The sequence below is a fragment of the Homo sapiens genome, chromosome 2 (genome assembly GCF_000001405.40).
Source record: "Homo sapiens chromosome 2, GRCh38.p14 Primary Assembly".
Lineage (NCBI taxonomy): Eukaryota > Metazoa > Chordata > Mammalia > Primates > Hominidae > Homo > Homo sapiens.
Genome location: NC_000002.12, coordinates 109491717 through 109514349, shown reverse-complemented (window position 1 = coordinate 109514349; position 22633 = coordinate 109491717). Strand labels below are relative to the sequence as shown.

The 22633-nt window shown below is 53.0% G+C and overlaps 2 protein-coding genes across 4 annotated transcripts in view, besides 2 other annotated features; both read right to left on the bottom strand.

Annotated features, from left to right (window-relative positions):
- The window catches only part of RANBP2 (RAN binding protein 2), a 1122820-nt gene that overhangs the window by 327952 nt on the left and 772235 nt on the right, over window positions 1-22633 (bottom strand). The gene's annotated exons all lie outside the window — the stretch shown is intronic.
- Window positions 251-500: an enhancer, noted in NCBI's record as "active region_16365". NCBI's record gives its function as "activates an Ori minimal core promoter by ATAC-STARR-seq in GM12878 lymphoblastoid cells {active_cell/tissue: GM12878}" and the evidence as "EXISTENCE:reporter gene assay evidence [ECO:0000049][PMID:35858748]".
- Window positions 6748-6857: an enhancer, noted in NCBI's record as "active region_16364". NCBI's record gives its function as "activates an Ori minimal core promoter by ATAC-STARR-seq in GM12878 lymphoblastoid cells {active_cell/tissue: GM12878}" and the evidence as "EXISTENCE:reporter gene assay evidence [ECO:0000049][PMID:35858748]".
- Window positions 9716-22633, bottom strand: part of SH3RF3 (SH3 domain containing ring finger 3) — a 375430-nt gene continuing 362512 nt past the window's right edge. For all 3 annotated transcript variants that reach the window (NM_001099289.3, XM_047444144.1, XM_011511110.3), the window contains one exon: window positions 9716-12847. In NM_001099289.3, the coding sequence (NP_001092759.1) occupies window positions 12679-12847 (169 nt within the window). In that variant the 3' untranslated portion in view covers window positions 9716-12678. The remainder of the gene's footprint in view (window positions 12848-22633) is intronic.

Here is a 22633-nt window from a genome sequence, read left to right as displayed (position 1 = left end):
TCCTAACAGCCCTGGTCTGTGTTTTATAACGTGGTTTTCTGAGTCCACAGCAGAAACTCCGTATTTACCAGCTCAGAGCCGTAACCAAGTTATGAATCATAATAAGATTCCAGAAACAGCCAGTCCAGCACATGGGAGTTTCCAGGGCGTTACATAAGCTCAGAATCTGGCCCGGCTAGCTTGATGCTGAGTTTAAGTTTCAACCAAACCTCAGAGCTGCAAGAGCACTTGATGGAGCAACATAAACCAGGCTTACTGCCTTTCTAAGGACCGTGGGAACATGCCCACATTAAGGCCCTTCTCCGTTCTAGCTTTGAGTGGTGAGGAGAACTCTGACATGGAGCCGCAGACTCACTGGGGACCAGAAGGCCCCCAGGCCCAGGAGGCTGCCTGGGCTCCACCCGGCTGCTTGCTCTTCTAGGATTTGCTCATCGGCCACCATCACGGTGGTCCCCCTGGGGTAGCTGAAGTGCTTTGTTGGATGCTGAAGTTAGAATGTGGCTGTGGGTGAGGGCTTGGTTTGCTGGTGATACCCAATCCCCTACACCCCTGGCCACATCCTCTGTAGCCACAGGCTGGCTCTGGGGAGGTGAGGCAGCACAGACTACAGCCTCCATGGGCACCCACCTCCCTCCTTCCCTTGTGGCACTCCTCCTGCAAAGCCTCATCTACGCAGGTGTCCTAGAACTGGGAGAAGGGTGTGTGTGCAAATGTGCAAGTGATGTGTGCGCATGTGCATATAGTGTGTGGACGTGTGTTTGTGCATGCACGTGGCTTGTGTGGTGTGTGCATGCAGTGTGTGTGTATGTGCATATAATGTGTGCATGTGGGTATGGTGTGTGTACATGTGGTGTGTGTACATGTGGTGTGTGTACATGTGGAGTGTCTATATGTGCACGTGTGTGATGTGTGTGGTGTGCATATAGTGTGTATGCATGTGGAGTATGTGCATGCATGTGTACATGTGTGAAGTGTGTGCATACGGGAGGTGTGTGCATGCATGTGTACATGTGTGAGGTGTGTGCATGTGGAGTATATGCATGCATGTGTACATGTGTGGGGTGTGTGCATGTGGGATGTGTGTGCATGCACATGAGGTGTGTGTGGTGTGTCAGGTGTGAATCCATGGGGCCTGGGTGCTGAGACAGGTCTACTGTGCAGGTGCTTTCTTTTGGGAAGAAATTCCAGGGCACGGGAGTGGAAGGTCGGGGCATTGTGCCAGGGAAGGAGCTGGGGTGGCATGGCATGGGGTGCCTCAGAACTGCCCCAGGAAGGGCAGCACATCCGTCCGCTGGCTCCTTCGGGCCTTGCACCTTCAGCTCTGTGCAGGGGAAAGTATTGTGTGGGCTCTTGCAGGTTTCCCTCCCTTAGGTGACTGAGAAGCCACCCAGGACAGAAAGAGGCTGCCAGGCCACCCACGTGCAAGATGGTTGCCATGGCAATGGCCAAAGTCATGGTGGACCTGAAGAACTGGAGGTGAATAGCAGGCGGCTGCTCCCTTGCTGGCCCAGGAGGGGGTGAGGAGGGGTCAGGGTCAGAGTCATGTGAGGGGTCTTAGGTCTTGGGGCACCCAGGGTGGAGGCTCTGGGAGAGACAGGAGCACCTGGGAGGGGGAAAGTCAAAGATGCTACCTGAGGGCTCTCCAGGGTGCCCAGCCTGCCCGGCTTCTCTTTCTTGCTCAGCCTCTGTGGCTGACTTGCCTCCCACGAGGCCCAGCAAGCCGGGTCTAGTCAAGAATGTCCCAGAAAAACCTGGAGTGTAGATAGAGAGACACACAGTGAAGACCAGGAGACCAGGAGGCAGATGCAGTAGACCAGGGAGGGTAGCGAGGGGACTTGTGATGTTAAAATCCCTGGGTGCCCAGCGCGGTACAGAGTGGACCCCCAGGCAGCCTGGGACCATCCCTGGGCATACCTGGAGCTTGACTCAGGAGGGGGCAGGAGGGTGGCGGAGGCCACAGTGAGAGGTGAAATCAGCTGCAGCACATCAGGTGGTTTGCTGGGCATCAGAAGAAGGAGGAAGGACACACTGAGGGCACCCTGGGAGCAGCAGGGATGCAGGGCAGGGAGGGCCGGGACACATGGGGCCCACACGTCAGTCACCAAGGCATGCATGCAGCAAAGGACAGTGGGGCCAGGGCCCAGCAGGAGGAGGGCCAGGGTCCCAGGCCAGAGCCAGGAAGAGAGTTTCCAGCAGGCCGAGGAGGGCGGACAAGCCCCCTAAAAGTGTTTGGATGTTGAGACAGATATCACAGCCCCCACTAGAGTTGTAGAGAAAGCTTATTATCACACATGATGGGACTCCTGTGTGCCCTGGAGATGGGTCTGGCACTCAGCTCAACTCCCACTTGGGAGTCCCAGAGTCCTCTGGGCAGCAACACCATCTAGGGCAATTCTGCAGTACGTGTGCATCGGCACCTGCTGTGGGCAGCACCACACTGGGTGCCAGGAGGCACACATGGGCCACCCCCACCTCGGCCTCCTGGGTGTGCTCTCCCAGGATGCAGGACCTCACCTCTCTCTCTGTCCACCCCCCATTCCTTATTTGGGGGCATGGGGCAGCAGCCATGAAAATGCAGGGAGGGTGTGGACAAGGACTTGTGGAGCAATTCCATAGAAAAGACTTACAGTAGATGGCCAGCCCTGGCCCTGGTCTCACGTTGGGTCACAAAGCCAGCTGGAGGCAGAAGCAGGGCTAGAACCTGCCCCTGACCCCAGGGCTTGTGCCCCTCCCTATTCCTCCCTGCAGGCTCCCACCTTCTGCAGGTGATCTGAGCCTTGCCACAACAGTGGTTGGCCTTAGCTGATTGCCATGTGGTCCAGGCACCTTCAGGTGGGCAGGTTCTCCCAGCCTGACTGCAAGGACACCACCCCTAAGGCCACCAATTGCCAGCCTGTAGGCCTGACCAGAGGCACACTGGATTGCGGGAGAACTTTTTGTTCTTTTTGATCAAAGAGTATGTTGTCACCAGATGGGGGCATGTGGTATACTGGGCCACCTGGTGCTGTCATCAGAGGCCACAGAGGACAGCTGAGAACTTGTTGTGGCTGTGGGACCTCATTCTCCAGTCCCGAGTCAGGCTTCAGGGAGCACTGTCACAGCAAGTCAGACAGGGACAAGTGTCAATGGCCCTGACATCAGCCAGGCCTCCCGAGGCCAAGAACAGGCTGAGGAGTTAGGAGTGCGGCCTTTGGAGCCAGACTGCCAGTGCTTGAATCCTAGGTGCCGCACCTCTTTGCCCCTTCCTGAGGCGAGTTGGTTAACTGCTCTCTGCCTCAGTTTCCCCATCTGTGAAATTGCATGGTCATAATTCCTACTTCATAAGCCTGATGTGAGGACAAAAACGAGGCAATGGATGTAGAGTGCTAAGCATGGGGCGGGCGCAGAGGGTGGGCTTAGTACATGCTTAACACGCACTTGCCATCTTCAGCACCCACGAGGAGGCCAGGGGCTCCTGGAAGGGCCCACTCCCCATAGCTCCGGCCACCCGTCCCACCTTTGCTCTCTGCCGCTTCCCCTGCAGGAAAGCCTCTCTTGCTTTTGTTGCAGTCACCCAGCATGGGCCCCACTCTGCTCACCCTGGCTTTAGCTGGAGGAGGCCAGCTCCTGGTCAGACGGGGCCCTTCCCCAGCCCAGGCTGGGCAGGGAGGAGGGGTCACCCCATGGCACACACAAGTGGCTGTTTTGTTGGGAAGGGGCTGTGGGTGCTCAGAGCCCCTGGTCCCGGCTAGGAACAGAAATGAAGCCCTGGACCCCATCAGCCCTCTGGGCTGCAGAGGGTGAGGATGGAACCGGGGTTCCTTCAGTCTGGTAGTCACTGCACAAATGTGAGAAGAGCTACCTCGGGGTTTCCCTCTAGGACATGTGGAAGGCTTCCCCTCGGCCTCCACATCGGACTGACTTGTCAAAGGACCCTCGGGGCTGTCTGCTCCCCCACATGCCCTCACCGCCCCCTTGGCAGAGACGCCTTGCCCTTTGCCCAGCATCTGCTGTGCCAGCTTCCCACATTCATACGAGCCATTCCCTGTGCCACCAACAGAGGGAGCTCCCGACACAGTTTGCATCTAAACACCCCTTGAGAGCCCAGGAAACACTGCCTCCTGCTTCTGGCCTGGAAGGCTCAGAGACCTACCCCTGGCCATTCTCACCTCAGCCCTCTCCTCCACACCTGCTCTGGGCTCCCTCAGTTTCTTGATCCTGCCAAGCTCTCCCCAGCCTCGGGTTGGGGTGTGCACACACACCGTTCCCGCCAACCGAACATTCTTTCCCCTCTTCCTGCCTTGTGAATTTCTAAACAAGACTACAGTGTGGAGGTCCAGATAAGACCCGGACACCCTCTAAGTGGCCCTCCATGCCCCTCACCTCTCCAACTAGATAAGAGTTTCCTGCGATCCCTTAGTACTTTGCCCTATAGTATTTGCCCGGTAGCTATCGCCTAGTTATTTTGATTAATTTAACTTTTGACTTCATTATGACCTGGTCTCCATGAGCACAGGCACATGGGCTGAATTATGTTCCCCGAAAATTCATATGTTGAAGTCCTAGCCCCCAGTGCCTCAGCGTGTGTCTCTGCTTGGAGATTAAATTAAAATGAGTCCATTGGTGGGCCTAATCTGGCCTGACTGGTGTCCTTGTGAGAAGGGTGAGGGTGCAGGGGGTGGAGGATGAGAAATTGCTTAAAGGGGACATGTCATGTATGTTATTCGGGTGATGGATACACTAAAACTCCTGACTTGACCACTATGGCATGTAACAAAATTGCACCCCATAAATTTACACAAATTCATTTTAAAAAGAAGAGGAACACTGGATACAGACGCACAGAGATGAATCCGGGCAAGACGACCCGCCACAGCTGCTTGACAGAGTGAGGAGACGGCGGTGTGCAAGCCGAGGAGAGAGGTCTCAGAGGAAACCAACCCTGCTGCAACTTCAACCTTGGACTTCCAGCCTCCAGCACTTTGAGAGAATATATTTCTGTTGTTTCAGCCACGCAGTGCATGGTATTTTGATATGGCAGCCTAAGTGACTGATACAGGCACGTGGGTTTGCACACTTCTTTCCATAGCACCAAACACCGCATAATCTGACAGGCGGCTGGGCCCCACCAGGCAGACCTCCAGGAAGGCCTGAATACATGAGGTGGGTCCTCTTGCCTGGATTCATCTCCGTGACCCTGGTGCTGGGCCCAGAGCAGAAGTAGCTGTTGAATGAATGAGTAGAGTGGGAAGGGGTGGAGAGAAGATGCCCAGACCCAGGCAAGTCCTGTGTGACCCTGACGGATGGGCACTTCCTTCCATTTCTCCCGGCAGGAATGGGTAAGCTGGTTGTGAGCTCCTTGACTCATGTGCTGGTGTTGTGTATTCTTGCCAAGAACGTCCAGAGGAAGCGCTCTGGGACCCATCATGGAGTGGACTGCATCCCCCCGTCCCGGGCTTGTAGCGCCTTTGCTCCTCAGGCACAGACTGCCGAGTCCATGACTACCCACACGGCTTGCCTTCCTCTCCAGATGTGAACTCTGGCTGGGGTGGGCAGCTGTGTCTCTCCTTTCATGCCTTATCTGGGGTGCCCTGTCTGAGCACTTACATTCATCTGTGACTGCTCACTGATCTGATAAGTGAGTGGGTGAAGCCAGGCCATCGAGGGGTGTGGTGAGTGGGTGTCCCATGTGACACTTCCTGGCTGTCTCCAGGCTTTCATCTGCTTCCATTTTTTTTTTTTGGAACATTACAGAACGTTACTTTTTCCAAATAAAGAGTTCTTTCTTCACATTTGTAATGATGTCCACGTCTGTTGACGTTTCCTCTGGGACTTCTTTTAGATCCAGTTTTTATATCTCATTTTCCTAAATATGGTATGGTGGCCCTCGGAAGACGCGTGCTTTTGCACAGTGCCATGGGGTTCCAGGGCAATGTCCTGGAGGAGCGGCCCTGGGGAGTGTGCGTCTGCAGTTTTTGTCTGCCCGGTCATGAGCTCCTTTTGTTTTTGCCAATAGCTCTACGTGTATCTTCTCACCCCCACTCTCAATCCATGAAGTCTGGGCAGGGCTGACACCTCAGGCGCTATCAATCAGTATATACATGTCCCCTGTCCAAAATGGCTGAGTCAGGGAGGGCAGCACGGGCCCAAACGGAGCCAGTGAGAGTCAATGCCAGGGTTTTGGCTGGGCCCATGGAGAAGGAGCAGGCCTATTTTTGCAGGGATGGGGAAGGTGTCAGATGGCACCCTGAACCTGCTGGTCCTCATTGTGCTGTAAGATGGGGAAATCTGCTGAGGAAGGAGCCACGTGGAGGGCAGCAGAGCCCAGCAATACCCACAAACGTCATGTGAGCACCTGGACCCAGCTATGCCTGAAGCAAACTCATCTACACCAGCGTTTCTTAGTGAACCCACCACTCTTGGCATTTGGGACAGGACAGGCTTTGCCCACGTGGGACGATTGTACACATTGCAAGATATCCCACATCCCTAGGTCCAGCAGAATGCCAAGTGTCCTCATGGAACACCAGCCCCATCATTTGCACACGTCTGATTGTCTGCCCTCAGCTTTTCAGTTGAGTCAAGAAGTCCTCTTTTGACTTATTCCAGTTGGTTTTTGGGGCAGGTTCAAATGATGGGCCCTGGACAAACAGCTGCTGCCATTTTCTTGGGTGTCTGGGATTTAACCCTTACCATGTTAAACACCAGCTGACCCTGGTGTGGCTTTAGGGCCGAGCCCAGGATTTTCACTGAGGGAGGGGTCAAGTTCTGGAGCCACAGGCTGGGTAGCACAGGCTCCTATCACTGTGGGAAGATGGAGACCACTGCTTCTGGTGCTGGAGGAGAGCACAGAGAGGACAGTCAGCAGAACTCAGCCAGCCTCAGATGCTGGGACCACAGGCGGAACAGAAGCAGGGCTCCAACAGCTCACAGGCCCCAGATGTTTCCCTTGTGGTCAGCTGAATGTGATCTTCTTTGAGAAGTGAAGGGAACCCCCTGGAAGGGTGACATGAAACAGAAGGGAGAAGAGAACTCCGACAGACTGCTCAGCCCTAGAAGGTCCTGACCGATTCCAAGACGGTCCCTGGTCTGTGAGGCCCGGCCAGGGGTGGGGCCGGCTCGGGAAGGGGGGTGCATCTCAAGCCTCAGCTGGCATCTCAGGGCAGCACAGACGTCGTGGCAGTGGGCAGGGGCTGTGCTCTGTCTTGGCATTTAGGGTCTCAGCACTGGCAGAGGCATTTAGACCCTCCTCCCTGCTAGCGTTTTGCCCAGGCCATTCTCCCCTAGGTAGAGCTCAGAGCCGACCACTCCTGGACAGTCTCCACTTGTAGCCTCCAGCCCCCAAGACTGCGGGACTGGCATGGACCCTGCCCAGCCGTCAAGGCCTCCCTGGGCCCTTTCCTCTTCTCCCACTGCTCTGTGTGGGGTGGCTGAGCACGGGGCTGAACCACAGCTTGACCTAGCATGTGGCCTCACACCAAGCATTGGATGGTGGTGCCTCGGTTTCCCCATCTTTGAAACAATATGATAGCAGTCCCACCTCATTAGGTGGTAAGTGCTACCAGCAGAGCCCCCTGTCAGAACCATCATTTTAGTATTTCTGCTACATTCAAGAAAAGCCAGAGATTGGAAGTCAGAAGTCCTGGCTCTGCCTCTGATTTAATTCAGAGCTAACAACAGAACTTCTTGGAATCAAGCTTCTTTACCTGTAAAATGGAGATGATACGAACCACACTTCGGGGGCTGTTGTAAGGATCCAGTGACATAACATATGTGACAACTCTATGCAGATAAAAGGCTGTGAATAGTCTCCCTTCCCTCCATCTGAGAAGCCCCCACCCTGTCCTGCCCCACCCTCTGCAAGGCCCCAGGGGAGGCCTCCAGGAGTGTGGCTCCCTCTCTCCAGGGTCCTCACAAGGTTGTTTAGGTGCCTCTCTAAGATCAAATGTCTTGTGCCATGGCCACCTGTGTGTTGTCTTTGCAGCTTTGCTGAGAGCTAGTGGTGCTCACCCTCCTGGCTCACCCTGCAGCTCCCAGCATAGGCCTGGCCATGGAGCCTTTCTCCCGAGAAAGAAGACTCAACGCCCCTCCGCAGTTCAGGTACACCACCTGTCAGTGTCAGTTAGAGGCAGGGATACCAACTCCCATCACAAAACCCACAGGGACTGAGGCCTCAACTGAAGGCCCAGCTCACTGGCGGCTAATGAGGAACATCTCGGCTACACAGGCCAAGTGGTAGACTACTGTTCAGATAATGCCCTGACTCCCACTGTTCTCTCTGTGGTTGCTAAATCAGTAAAGGCAAATTACTTGTTTGCTTAGGAGCATGGATCTGGAAAACAGGCAGTGAAGTACGTGATTTGAATGTAAAACGGCACCAGGCCCTGATGGGTTGCTGTGTAATTTCTATAGGCAGAATACCTCCACTTGGCAAGCTGGCTGGGACGGCCTGCCAGGCACCCTCTCCAGACAGACTGTGATGGGCATTGCCTGCATTTCCTCTGGCTCTCCTCTTCCTACACTCTTGTGCTTGAGGTATCAATTCTATTAGGGAGTACAGGTTTGGCACCCAGCTTTTGAGTTCTGAGGGTAGACTTGACATTGGATAAGTAGACTTGAGTTTGAGTCATGGCTGTCCACTGAACTATGTGACCTGGGGCAATTCATTTAACCTCTTACAACCTTGATTGCTCACGTAGCAAATGGAGGCAAGAGTGGTATCCACACAGCCTTGTCCGGAGGGAGAGTGAGCACACAGCAGGCCTCCTTACCACAGTGCCAGGCCTGCAGCTACCTCCCCAGTGACTGTCCATGCTGTGTTAATCTTGTACGAGTTCACTTTTTTAAAAAAAATTATTTTATTTGCTCATACAAGGGTCTATGTTGCCCAGGCTGGACTTGAACTCCTGGGCTCAAGCAATCCTCCTGCCTTAGCCTCCAGAGTAGCTAGGACTACAGGCATGCACCACTGCCTGGCAAGGTCACTTAATTTTTATGGTAGAGTAAAATGGCTCTTTGCTAAGTGTTCTTCCAGCTCAAATGTATACGTAGATGTGTCTCAGCCAAGAGAACAGTGAAAGCCTGTTTCAAGAAACACGTGGTTCCAGGCATGGATCAGGCTGGCGGCCCAGCCCTCTGCCAGGTGTCAGGCTGGCTGATTGGAGACAGATGCACCTCTCTGGAGATCAGTGGGCTCCTGGGCTCTTCTGTTGGTGGGATTCCCTGCACCCCCATCCTGTGCTCCAGGGAATGGCAGCCATGGCTCAGGCGCCCCAAGGGCCAGAGAGACAAGGGTAAGACCAGGAGAGTGCTGGTCTCCGAGGTTAATACCAGGCACTTCTGGTTACGAAGGACTTGAATAATGACAAGAAAAGGAGGCGAGTCATCTACAGCAAGCCACCCTGCCCTTCCAGGCACATGAGCCCCTAGAGGGGAACTGGAGACCCTCCCCACCCAGCCCACCGCTGGCTTCTGTGGCTTGGCTCTTACTGCCCAGCTCCTGGGTCTCTGGCATGTGCTGGGTACAGACATTTGATGTCACGACTCTCCCATCTCCTTGACTAATGCCATCCTGATACAGATTCGGTGCACCCCACACAAGAGCACTGAGAGGCAGGTGCGTAAGCCAGCTGGGCTGGTCAGCAGGCAGGTGGGCCAAACCTTCAGGTTCTGCTCCTACCTGGGTCCCTCTTGGCCTCTGCTGGACCCTGCTCCTCCCAACACGTAGACACAAGCCTTCTCCATGTTCATTTTTATTTAAAGACTCAGAAACACAGGCATCATGGTTTGTCATCACTGACAAGTCTTCCAAAATCACACGCTGACATTTGTGTCTAACAAAAACACTTGGGATAGGGTGTGTGTGTTTGTGTGTGTGAACTGTGCAAAGTACAAAGGATCTCCCAGTCGGCTGAGCCTGTTTTGAAGTGCCCGGCCTGGCATCACCCCATGAGGATGCCAGGAGAGCACCCGTGGCCGCCATCCTCTCTGCCTCCCTCTGGGCAGAGGCCCCTGGTGGCCTGCAGTCCTGTCCCCTCGGTGTCCACTGACTTCAGCCATGGCTGTGGACTCTACCATGCTCCTCAAAGGAAATCTCTGTGGCCCCCCAAGGCCACTACATGGCTAAGATGTGTACATCATGGGGCCAGGATGAAACATAAGGGTTAGTTTCATCTTAACCGCCAAACATGTGTACCCTTTGAGGCAAGATGGCCTGAAGAAAGGGCTAATTCTGCTCCTGCTCTTCTCTGCGAGCTACATCATCATGAAGGCTGCAGGGCCTGAACGAGTTTAAAATACTCAGAAATGCACATGGGCCATGCATTTCCTCTGCTCTCAGGCAGCCCGGCATTGGCTCCAGAGCTCTGGCCAGACCCACGCATCGCTCTCCTTCCTAAGGTGGCACCAACGCCCACCCGACTCTGCCCTGAAAGCGGCCAGCTGACATCCTCCAAAGACATGGAGATATTCGCCCCAGCTCTCTACCATGCTGCATGCAGTGGGCTGTGTCCTCGCCCCCCACCAGGAGGGTGAAGCACATTTCTACCTGAAGCACCACGTGGGCCATGCCTGGGAGAGTAAGAACGTTCAGGTTACTCTATTCTGTTGCTTGGTACCTGCGCGCCTTAAAAAAAAGACTTCAAAAAAGTTACCTGGAGACTTGACTTGGTCTGGTTTCCCTGGAGAACACCTGCGTCATCCAGGTTGTTGATCTGTGCACCTCTTTGGTGACAACGTGAATTTAAACACGCACAGGATTTTGGTGCAGGATGGGCAACTGATGAAGTTTGGCAATAATGGTAAATAGAGAGCTTTTGGTTGTCATTAACCTGGCACACAGAAGTTACTATGTTTAAGCCAGACTTTTTCTTCTTTGATTCTGAACAACTTCTTTGAGTCTATTAAATCTATTATCATCTTGGGGGAGGGAAAGGCATGACCCCCGCCGTGTGGTGACCACCTGGAAGTAACAAGTAGCCAAGTCACGTCCCAAAACAGGAACTCTGAAAATAAGCGGCCCGTGTTTCAAAGTCTTCATGCCAGGCAAAAGAATGTATTTCTGGAATTGGTTACATCCCTGAAAACCAATGACACCCTATGTTACCAAAGGCTAGTTTCTTCAGCTTAATTTAAGTCTGAATGGTATTTGTAAAAATATAGGTGGAGAGAGGGGTGATGGATCAAAATTTTGAGGTGATAAAAATGTGTTCCTAAGGTGTGAATCTTGAGAACAAAATTGTCCCTGAAGGGCTCCTGATCAGTCTTCCTGGGAAGTGAGCCATGGTGCTAATGAATATACATTCATCAGCCCCACTCAGGGAGGTCCCAGCATCAAAGCTGCACCTCCTCCTCTCTCGCCCTCCCAACTCCCCGATCTTGCAAGCCTGCAGCGGTGCTGCAACCCCCTGATCTCCTTGTACCTCTGGTCTCCAGCAGATGAAGGTTTGCACTGCCTGAAATGGGAGCAGTTATTTATTTTTAAAAAAGAAGAAAAATGGTGGTGGTGATCTAAACTGTTGTAGAAACTGCACATTTTGATACCAAGAAATCATCTTCTGAGAATGCTAATTGCAGTTCTCTCTGAGGCAATAAAGGGAAGATTTTGCCTTCCCGGCTGGGGTTGACCTGCGTGCTCCTTCTACCGCCACACAAAAGGACAATTATAGTGGCCCTTCCTCGAAATGTTTCCAGGTCTTGAATAATAATCATCACCGTCTAGACAGAGCGCGGGGTTTTGGTAAGAGTTTAAAGAAACCGGCTGCTTCCAAGCTCCCTCCGACCCCCTCAATGGATCCACCCCGCCAGCCCCCAGAGTACTGGCCAGCGCTGAGGTGCGGGATGGCGGCTTCTCGGCGCTCTCCCAAAGCCATATGGGAAATATAAAAATTCTGCCCCTTTGATGTCGCCTCAGACATCTTTTCTTTCAAGCTCAACCAAGTCATTATTAGTTTTACAAAAAGGCAGCACCAGATGTATGAAAAATAGGCAATGTCTGACCTATTAGAAATATATAAAGTCTAACAGCTTTATGTTAAAAATATGCTGTAAGAAAGAAGTAATGCAAGGGACAATGGTGGTGAACAGAAAGTGTTGCTTATACTACTGGCAGGCGACAAGCCCACAGATTCTGCTCTGGTTCCCAACAGGGGCGGTGGGGTGCCCCTTCCGGGGCACCCCCAGGGCCTCACAAACACCCCTGCTGAGCAGCCGGGCGGCAGGTGACTGAGGTATATAGAATGGTGACAGAGCAACCTGGGCCCCGCGGGAAGCCCAGGGCAGCCCAGAAAGATGATCTCCAGCGCTCCTGGCCCCCATGCCACCCACCTCGCCTGCAGACCTCCTGCAACCTCCAACCCTGCTTAGGTGGTAAATGAGAACGCTGCCATGGCTGCAAACCACAGCCACAGGCCTGCCTGCGCCGGCACCTGCCTCTCTTCCTCAAGGTGCTTTCTTTGCAGTTTCCACAGAGGGGGTGGGCATTTCCTTGAAGAACATCCCAGGTGTGCTCTCCGTTTGGGGGTTTTGGGAGAAGGCACGACCTCCACAGTCCCTGGCCCCCACCCTGGGCCAGGGTATCCCCCGCCAGGTGCCTTGGAGATGACCTGGAACCCTTGGGGCGCCATGGCTCCCTCTCTGTGTGCCGTGGAGCTTCCCAGGCGGCCTCCCCCTCTGTGAGCTGGGTGCAGGGAGCACCAGTTCTCAGAAGCTCTCGACGAAGCTGCCCGGGAAGAGGCCTGTGCGGCCGTTCCGCTGCAGGGTCCCCTTGTACCAGCCGTCCTCACGCTTCTTGTGCACAAAGACGATGTCGCCTTCCTTCAGCTCGATCTCCGCCTCACTCTGGGGTGGGTACGAGACCACCACGCGGTACCTGGGGAAACAGCACAGTGGGTGAGCCCCACACAGACAATCTCCATCTGCTGGGTCGTGCTTTCTCTTCTTCCCTCGGTGTAAATTATTGTTATTTGCTGCTATTTTCCCACTTTATACAATTTCTATTTATCTTTATTTTTAATTTTTTCAAAACTCTGGAAATTTTTCATTTTTTAATAAAAAAAATTTAAAAGGCATTTCCCCCTGCTGTCCTTTTAGACGCTGATCTACGAAGAAGCTGGACTGTTTCACTCCCTTGAAGATTCTCCACCCAAGCACAGCCCCCCATCTCATATCCACGCTCCTGCCCTGGCCCACCCACCTAGACTGCGGCCTCCCAGGGGCAGGGGCGGGGGAGGGTCAGGAAAAACTGTGTCCCCATTTGCCCCATCCCAGTGTCAAGACCCTGGGCTCGTGTCCTCACCTCTCCCTCTGCAGGTTCCTCTGAAAAGCACGCTCCTCAACTGCAGCACCACCTCACAGGTTGGGGCCCAATGTGATGTGTGAAAGGTACTTGGAACATTGTTTATGTAAATTGTCCTTATTTTTTTGAGACAGGGTCTTGCTCTTCCACCCAGGCTGGAGTGCCGTGGTATGATCCTAGCTCACCGAAGCCTTGAGCTCCCAGGCTCAAGTAAGCCTCCCACCTCAGCCTCCCGAATAGCTGGGACCAAGGCACATACCACCATGCCCAGCCAATTTCTAATTTTTTTTTGTAGAGATGGGGTCTTGCTATGTTGCCCAGGCTGGTCTTGAACTCCTGAGTGCAAGTGATCCGCTGGCCTCAGGCTCTCCAAGTGCTGGGATTACGAGCATGAGCCACCGTGCCTAACCTGTCCTTATTTTTAAATGTGCTCCAAAAATCATAAGATTTTTTTCCCAGTGCCTTAGCATTGGAACTGGCTGAGGCCACAACATCAACATCAATAAGGCCCAACTTTCCCCACATCTCATTTCCACAAGACTTGGGCCCCCTGCAGCCTCTGAGGCCTCTTTGGAGTCCCTGTCTTCAGACCAATATGCTGTAGTGTGGAATCAGAGACAGGAGCCTTCCCTGGGGTCTTCCCTGCATGGCCTCCGCCTGCAGGGACCCAGGGGCATGGGGTGTGCTGCGTGGCAGGTGCTGGAGCTCTGAGTGCACCCCAGGGGCTCTCTGGGCTGTGGCAGGTGCTCCTGGCAACACTTAGCTGTGGCACTGACCAAGAGTTCTCTCCTCGACCACACTCCAGCCTGGCTCCTCTGAGCCCTCTTCTTGGCTGGGCCTCACCTCTGCCTATAACAACTTGAACAACCACTAACATAGCTTCTAACAGCTCAAGGTGGCATCCCTAGGCTGACCCCAGTCCCCTTTAAAGTGCCTGCCTGAGAAACCTCACGGCAGCCAAAAGAATCGACTGTGGGTTCCAGCCACACCTGAGGACAGCCACACACTGTCTCCTGACTTCAGTGAGCACGTCAGCATGTCCAGATGTGTTCACACGGACCACCCGCTTCCACCATCTGTAACTTTTCACTTCCCCCACTCTCCTGAGCCCCCACTCGCTGCCTCCCTGCTCCCTCATTCTCTCTTGGAAACCCCCAGTCACTTGTGTGCCAATTGAACCTGAGCTCAGCTCAGCCTGGACCCTATTCCCCATTGCAAATGTCAGTTATGTTGCCGATTAAAACCTGTCTGACTACTTTCACTAGTGTCCGGCTATGATTATGTTTGACAGGACACACACACACATACACACACACCCCCCTGCTCTGCTATCCCACACCCATCCTGCAAGCCACAGAGGAGGAGGAACAAGGCTGAAAAGCAGCTGTGGTGGCCCCAGGAGAGCCTTCCTCTAAAACACTGCCAAGGACGAACCAGTTGGGCCTTGTGCCCTCGGCCCTTATGCTTAGAGTCTGACAGGCAGGGCCCCATCCCCACTCCCACTAGCTGGGCCTCCCTCTGCCCTGGGGAAACTCCACAGGGGCATGCTTGCCCGAAGCCTGGCTGGGCCCCTGCACCCCCAGCCCTTTTGTGGGTGAGGATTGTGCAGTAAGGGCTGAGAGAAGATGCCCCTGGGCCACCAGGGTGTTGGACCGCACATCTAAAGCCCAGATCCCACATGTGGTGGATTTTGTGGCAGGCAGGGTGCAGCTATTCTCTCTGCCTAAAAACCCCTGGCTGACGGTCCCTCAGACACCCACTTTGCTGAGCAGCACCGAGATGGGCCTGGCAGGGCGAAGGCACTCAATAACCAGCACTGGACTGCCCGGGTACCCATCTCCACAGACGCCGAGGCTGTCTAGGAGACACGGCCCCCGCGGCTCTGGATGCCTTCCCTGGTGGCCTCCGTGCAGGTCTCCTGTGGGTGGCTCCTGGTCCTGGCGGCTGCCCACTCTGGGCCTCCTGCTTTCACCCTGCTTGGACTGAGTTGCCTCACAGCTGAGGCTCCTTTTGGGCAAAGGCTCAGAGGGCTCCAGCAGTCCCCATCCCTCTCAGAGGAGGGGCCACAGTCTAAACGCCCCAGCATTCCCAGGCCCTCCACACTGCGCCCTTCCCACTCCACCAGCTCTGCCCTGCCGCGCCCTAGCGACCCCAGGTGCACCCACCTCAGGGCTCCTCCATATGCTGCTCCCTCTGCCCAGAACGCCCTTCCCTGTGTGGCCACGCCGGGCCTGCCCTTTCCCAGCTCTTACCATCTTCCACTGCCCAGCCATTCACCTGTTTACCCAACCCATCCTGCCTCCTGCACCAGTCTGCAAGCCCCATCGCCACAGGGATTACTGCACACCTGCTCCAAGTGTGGCTCACATACTTCAGGACCCCCCACAGTTCCCTGGGCCCATCCTGGACCTACTTGATACTACTTAGGGGGAATGAACTAGGGAATGTGGATTTTCAGCAGCTCTGGGAGGGAATGCTTGCACATTGGTGTCTGAAAATCGAGCTGAGTGCATGCTCAGGGAGGAAGCCTTTGCCCTTCCCCACCCCACGTGTTCACAGAGCCTGGGGCGCAGAAGCCATGGCTTTGGGGCAGTTTGGCTTGGTGCCAGGCTCAGGAAAAATGTGCAGACAGGAGACCAAGGCCCAGTCCTATGGAGTGCACAGCCCCTGGGCACACAGGCCCAGCTTGCACCAGGCTGGCAAGAGGAGGAGGCATGGAGGATGGGCTCCTGAGGCTGACTTGGGGGTGCAGTGTTCCTACTCCTGGGGAAGCAGAACAGGCCAGGTTCTGGGTCGCAGTCCCGAATACCAGCCAACTCTAAGTGTCTCAGAGCATCTACGGGTGCACGATGGTTGGACTGGTTCCCATGGGCTATCTGCCGGCGAACCAGACTCTGCTCTCAGGGACATGCAGGCGGGAAGGAAGGAGGGCAGGCGGAGGCACCTCCTTCCTCCCAGCTCAGCGTCTCTGTGAGGGCTTCCTGCTGGCCCTCCTTCAAGGAGGACAGATGGCTGCCGGGATGCAGCCAGCGGTCTGTGAAATCAGACAGCATACACACAAACTGAGGCTGCGAGGGCCCACAGGATCAGCGCCATCCTACCTGTGGCCTTCTGCCATCCTCCACCTCTTCCAAACACCTGCTCCTCCTCTCTCTTCCCCAAGGAAAGAAAGGAAGGCAAAGGGCGAGATGATTTCTCAGACTTTGAATGCAAGTTTTGGCTTTTGCCTCAACTTCCAGATGTGAAATAAACAAGCAGCTTTAAAAATATAATTTGTTAGAAAGATGTAATTTGGTGCTTCTGAGCAATTCAATGATTTAATGAGCCCAGATGGATGTGGGCTGAATTTATACGAGACAAGTGTTTAACGTTTCTGTCCAGATCATTCCAAGACTCTGAGCTGTTCTTCCTGCTGCAGGAAAGTAATTGATACTCCCCGTTATAGACACAGAGCGCCGTTGTCGTGTCCGTGTCAGCAGCTGAGGATGACAGCTACTCCCAGGTCACAACTGTGCGTCATAAATCAGCAAGCAACTCTGCCCTGCTGAGTATAATTAAGGTTATGGCAACCACAGCTAATTTTCAGACACAGGGCTCAAGGAATCCAAATGGGCAAAATCAGAATGAATTCTCATTCCATTATTATTACCATTAGCTCTGTGTGCGAGGTTTGGATGTTCTGCTTTCCTTGGGGGTCGTCTGCTTCCCTCCCTGACAACAGAGTCTGCAAAGTGGCCCTCCATGTGGTAGCCTTTTCAGAGCACTTGCTCCAACACAGGAAGACGAATGAGCCCCTGAGTCCATGGAATGTGCTGGTAACAGAGTGGTGTCTGCTAGGAACTTGGGGATAAGAATACTTCTATACCCTGGACACTAAACTGTAATATCAACACACATATTAGTTGTTTATGGCTATAACGAATGACCATAAATGTAGTGGCATCATACTATAAAAATATATTATAGTTCCGTCCATCAGAACTCCAACGTGGTCTCACTGGGCCAAAATCAAGGCATCTGCAAGGCTGGTTCCTCCTGCAGGCTCTAGGGTAGAAGCTGTTTCCTTGCCTTTCCAGTTGCTAGAAGCTGCCTTCATCCCTTCTCTGGAGGCTTCTTCCTCCATCTTCAAAGGGGAGTGCTCACATCATGCCACTCTGACCTTCTCCTCTGCCTCTCTCTTCTACTCATAAGGACCCTTTGTGATTACACAGGGCCCACCTGGATAATCCCGGGTAATCTCTTTATTTTAAAGTCAGCTGGTTAGCAACTTTAATTCCATCTGCAACCTGATTTCTCTTTGCCATGTATGGTAACATAGTCATGAGTTTTTAGGGTTTAGGGCATAGACATCTTTGGGGGCCATTATTCTGCTCACCACACACATAATGGATCAGATCAAGGAACGCTGAAATCCTAACAAAGCCATATAACTCACAGGCCATCAAGAGCTGAGGATGAGCTGATCCGATGTGAACATCTGGGGAGAAGCAGGTCAAAGGGGCAGGAGTCGGCCAGGCCGTGCTGCAGGTGCCCTCACCCTCACTGACTTACTATTATCATAGATGTCACAGCATATGTTACTATTAGAGAGGTCATAGTGAAAGGTGAAGCCAGCTGGACTTCCTGGGTCGAGTGGGGACTTGGAGAACTTTTCTTTCTTATGAGAGGATTGTAAAATGCACCAATCAGCACTGCAGCTAGGAGTGTAAAATGCACCAATCAGCACTCTGTAGCTAGCAAGAGGATTGTAAAATGCACCAATCAGCACTCTGTAAAATGCACCAATCAGCGCTCTGTAGCTAGCAAGAGGATTATAAAATGCAGCAATTAGTGCTCTGTAAAACGCGCCAATCAGCACTCTGTAAAATGCACCAATCCGCACTCTGTAAAATGCACCAATCAGCAGGATCCTAAAAGTAGCCAATCACAGGGAGGATGGAAAAAAGGGCGTTCTGATAGGACAAAAACAGAACATGGGAGGGGACAAATAAGGGAATAAAAGCTGGCCACCCCAGGGCAACCCGGTGGGTCCCCTTCCATGTGGAAGCTTTGTCCTTTGCTCTTCACCGCGAAGGTCTGTGGCTCAATTCTTGAAGTCAGTGAGACCACGAACCCACCAGGAACCAACTCTGGACACAATAGCATATATTATTATTGTTGTGTTTAGTGTGCACTCATACTTTTTCTGGTGTTAATCTAGGTGATTTACAAGTATTATACCCAGACATGTATTATTATCCCCATTTTATGTATGTGGAAACTAGGACTATAAAAATGAAGAAAGGGGGCCAGGTGCAGTGGCTCACGCCTCACGCCCAGCACTCTGGGAATCCGAGGTGGGCGGATCACTTGTGGCCATGAGTTTGAGACCAGCCTGGCTAACATGGCGAAACCCCGTCTCTACTAAAAATACAAAAATCAGCCAGGCATGTCAGTGGACGCCTGTAATCAATCCCAGCTACTTGGGAAGCTGGGCACAAGAATTGCTTAAATCTGGGAGGCGGAGGTTGCAGTGGGCCAAGATTGCACCGCTGCACACTCCAGCAGACAGAGTGAGACTTTGTCTCAAAAAAAAAAAAAAAAAAAAAAAAAAAAAAAAGGAATGAAAGATATTCAGGATGAAATGGCCGGTAGGTGGCCCAGAGTGTCTGTCTACTCAAAGCCTCTCTACGATACTTGATACTGCCAAGGTGCAGAAGAGCCAGGAGGCAGGCATCCAGTGGGCAGGAGGGGCTGGTCCCAGAACTCAGCTTGCCTGGCCCTGCACCAGAACAGACCAGGGTTGGTGTAGCTGGGGAACTGGGGCATTAGACGGTTCTAACCTGATGCCATGTGCATTTGCTGCCTGCATTTCCCATGACCACACCCGTATTCTGAGTTCCACAAGCAACTTCTGGAAATTCAGCTCCCTCTGCACATAGTCCGCAGGACAAGAATATGCCAGACACCTAAAGATGAGGTCCTCTTGGAAGGAACGGGGCATGGCCCTCTAGGTGACTTACACCCCAGGCTCGTGGGCTTGGCTCATAAGTCTACTTACGAGACTGGCCTGCTGCCTGCCAGCTGCTGGGGCAGGGCAGCTGAGCCTGCCAGCCTCGCTGACCCGGCCCCAGATTGCTGCTCACAGTACACTCCCCTAGTCCTTTCTCAGAGGAGCTCCCTCTGCAGCACCTTCTACTTGAATGTCCTTCCTCTGAGAGTGGAGAGGAGAGCAGCGCCCGCTCTCTTTCCAGAGTCTTGAAAGAGATGGTTGAGATCTGGAGGAGTCTGGGCACAGGAAAGGCCCAAGAAATGCAGGCAGCAACACTGCCCATTCCTCCTTGGCATTTTGGGGTGGAAACCTTGACCCTGACAGCCCATACTGCCCTGCTGCCTGCATTCCCACTTTCATGATCACAGGTGGGCCTTGCACACCTGAGGCCCTCCAGGAGTGCTTGGCAGCTGAGTGTTCTGGCCCCACTGCAGGGACTCTCACCTCTGCACAGGGCGCAGCCCAGCAGCTCCTCCTCCAAAGTAAGCCTGGAAGTAAGTTTTACTCACAAGTCTGCAGGGCCCAAGTCCAAGTGCTCTCTGGTGCTGTCCCAGCCCGAGGAGTCAGCATTTTCCCAGTCATGCCCTCAGCTCCGACCTGCTAGGGCTCCCCAGGATACCAGGCAGCCTGTGGCTACCATGTTGAGGGGAGGGGGCACTTCTGGGGCTCATGAGCAGTTTGGTTTCAGGCTGTTTTTTGGAAACACTTCTCTTTAATGAGTGCTACAGAGTGCTTGGGTGCAAGGAGCCACCAAAGAGTCTCTGGGTACAATGACCCCTGATTAGATGGAACACTCAGAGAACGGGAGTGAGTCTCTGAATTTTCTAATTCATCAGAGATGCCCATGACTTTATAGAAACAGGGTCTTTCAATACTTTTTATTGAGGTGTCTGGAAGTCATGTCTTTGAAGATAAAGTTGAGGGGTCTGGGGAAGAAGGATCCTAGGGGAGACATGAGAACAGCTTTGAACTATCCCAAAGTCTGTCATTCTCACGAGCCGGCAGACCAACTCTGTGACTCCAGACAAGGGCCAGGACCCATCCGGAAAACACAGGCAGCAGGTGTTGGTCCCATGAAGGGAGGTTCTGATGCGGAGGAGACTCCTTAGGAGAGGATGAGAGGTGGAGGAAGTGGAGGAGGAGGAGAGAAGGAAAGAGAAGGTGGGTGTGTGTTGTGTGTCTGAATATGTGTTTGTATTATGTGGTTGCTTGATGTACAATTTGTGTATAGTGTGTGTATCTGTGTGTTATGTGTGTTTGCCTGGTGTGTGTGCAGTGCATGTTTGGTGTGCAGTGTGTGTGTCTGCATAATGTATATGGTGTGTGTTTATGGTGTGTATGTATGGTGTGTGGTGTGTGTATGGTGTGTGATGTGTTTGTATAATATGTGTGTGTATGGTGTGTGTTTGCAGCATGTGTGGGGTGTGYGTTTGCAGTGTGTGTGGTTTGTGTGTATTGTGTGTGGGGTGTGTGCAGTGTGTATGGTATGTATGTGTATGGTGTGTGAAGGGTGTGGGTATGCAATGGTGTGTGTGAGGTATGTGTTTGTATGGTGTATGTGGGGTATGTGTTTGTATGTATAGTGTATGTGGAGTGTGTTTGCACATGTGTGTAGTCTGTGTTTGCATGATGTATGTGTGGTGTGTGTGGTGTCTGTACCATGTGTGTTTGCAGTGTGTGGCATGTGTCTGTTTGTATGACGTATGTGGGGTGTGTTTGTATGGTGTACGTATATTTGCATGGTGTGCATGGTGTGTGTTTCTATGGTGTACGTGGGGTGTGTGTTTGCAGTGTGTGTGGTGCGTGTGTATATGCTGTATGTGTAATGTGTGAGTGTTTATATGATATATGTGTGGTGTGTGTGTTTGCATGGCGTATGTGTGGTGTATGTGTTTTGTATGATGTATGTGGGGTATGTGTGTTTATATGATGTATCTGTGGTGTATGTGTATGTTTGTATGTATGGTGTATGTGTGGTGTGTGTGTTTGTATGATGTATGTGGGGTATGTGTTTGTATGGTGTATGTGTGGTGAGTGTATGTTTGCACAGTGTGGTGTGCAGTGTGAACCCAGTCCCCCAAGGGCCTGGGGCCCTGTAGAGGGGAAGGCACTTCTCCCTGTGGGTGTGGCTGTAGGGGCTGGGACTGGCATGGCAGTGCTGATGGATCTGCAGGACCCAACAATGGTGCAGCCCCTGGAGGAGCTGTGACATGTCCCACGATGTCCACAAGCTGATAATAGGCCCTGTGACTACACAGGACTGGGGGTGCTGCTGACTGCGCACCCTACAGAGAGGTAGCTCAGGGCGTGGGCCATGAGGTCAGAAAGTCCTCAGCTGAATCTCTGGCTTGGCCACTAACTAGCTGTGTGATCTTGGGCCAGTTACCTAGCCTTTTACAAAACCTCGGTTTCCTCATCTGTAAAACGAGGATAACTGATTTCATAGGGTTCGTGGGAAGGTTCACTGAGACTACACACATGTAGCGCTTGGGGAAACATAGAAGGCAGGGCCTGGCTGTCCTGGGCATGCGTAGCCGGAATCCATGCCCACTGCTGAGTGTTCTGAACGTCACCCCTGTGCAGAACACCCAGCTCTTGTGATGCTAACAGCAGGTGTACATGCGACTTCCGTTCTCACTGGTTAGCAGAAGTCAGTAGCTGCGGGTTCTGCAGAGAGCCCTGTCCACTCTGGAGCCCCAGGCCTAGCCCCATAGGCTTGGCGCTAGGCATCATCTCTGTCAGGGCTGGCAAACTGCGCCTGCGGCTAATTTGTGTAGTCTTAGAGCTGTGAATGTTGTCACATTTTGAAATGGTTGAAAAAGAAATCAGAAGACTATTTCATGACCTACGAAAATTGTACGAAATTTAAATTTCAGTGTCCACAAGTAGGGGTTTACTGGGACACCGGCCCATTCATCTACATACAGTGTGTGGCCACGCTTCCACCGTGAAGGCAGAGGACGTGGTCACCACAGACACAGCAGGACTGCAACATCTGCAGTGTTTACCATCTGGCCCTTGACGAAGAACCTGTGAAGCTAGAAAACTATACAGAAGAATATGTGAGGATAGAAAACTAGACCTCTGATCTAGATAGACCCCGTCTCATTCCCCACCTGGCACTGGGAATGGCGTCTGGGAGGGCAGCAGGTGTTCAGGGCAGAGGCTGCCTTCCCGGGTTGCAGGCACCCGAACGGCCAAGGGAGGAAAGGTTCTGGCAGAAACACCAGGACTGTCTTTTTGGGAGGTTGTTTGTGTTTTATTATTTCAGCAATGTTACAATGTGTAGGCACTCAGTAAGGATCATATCTTTCTACCATCCTAACCTG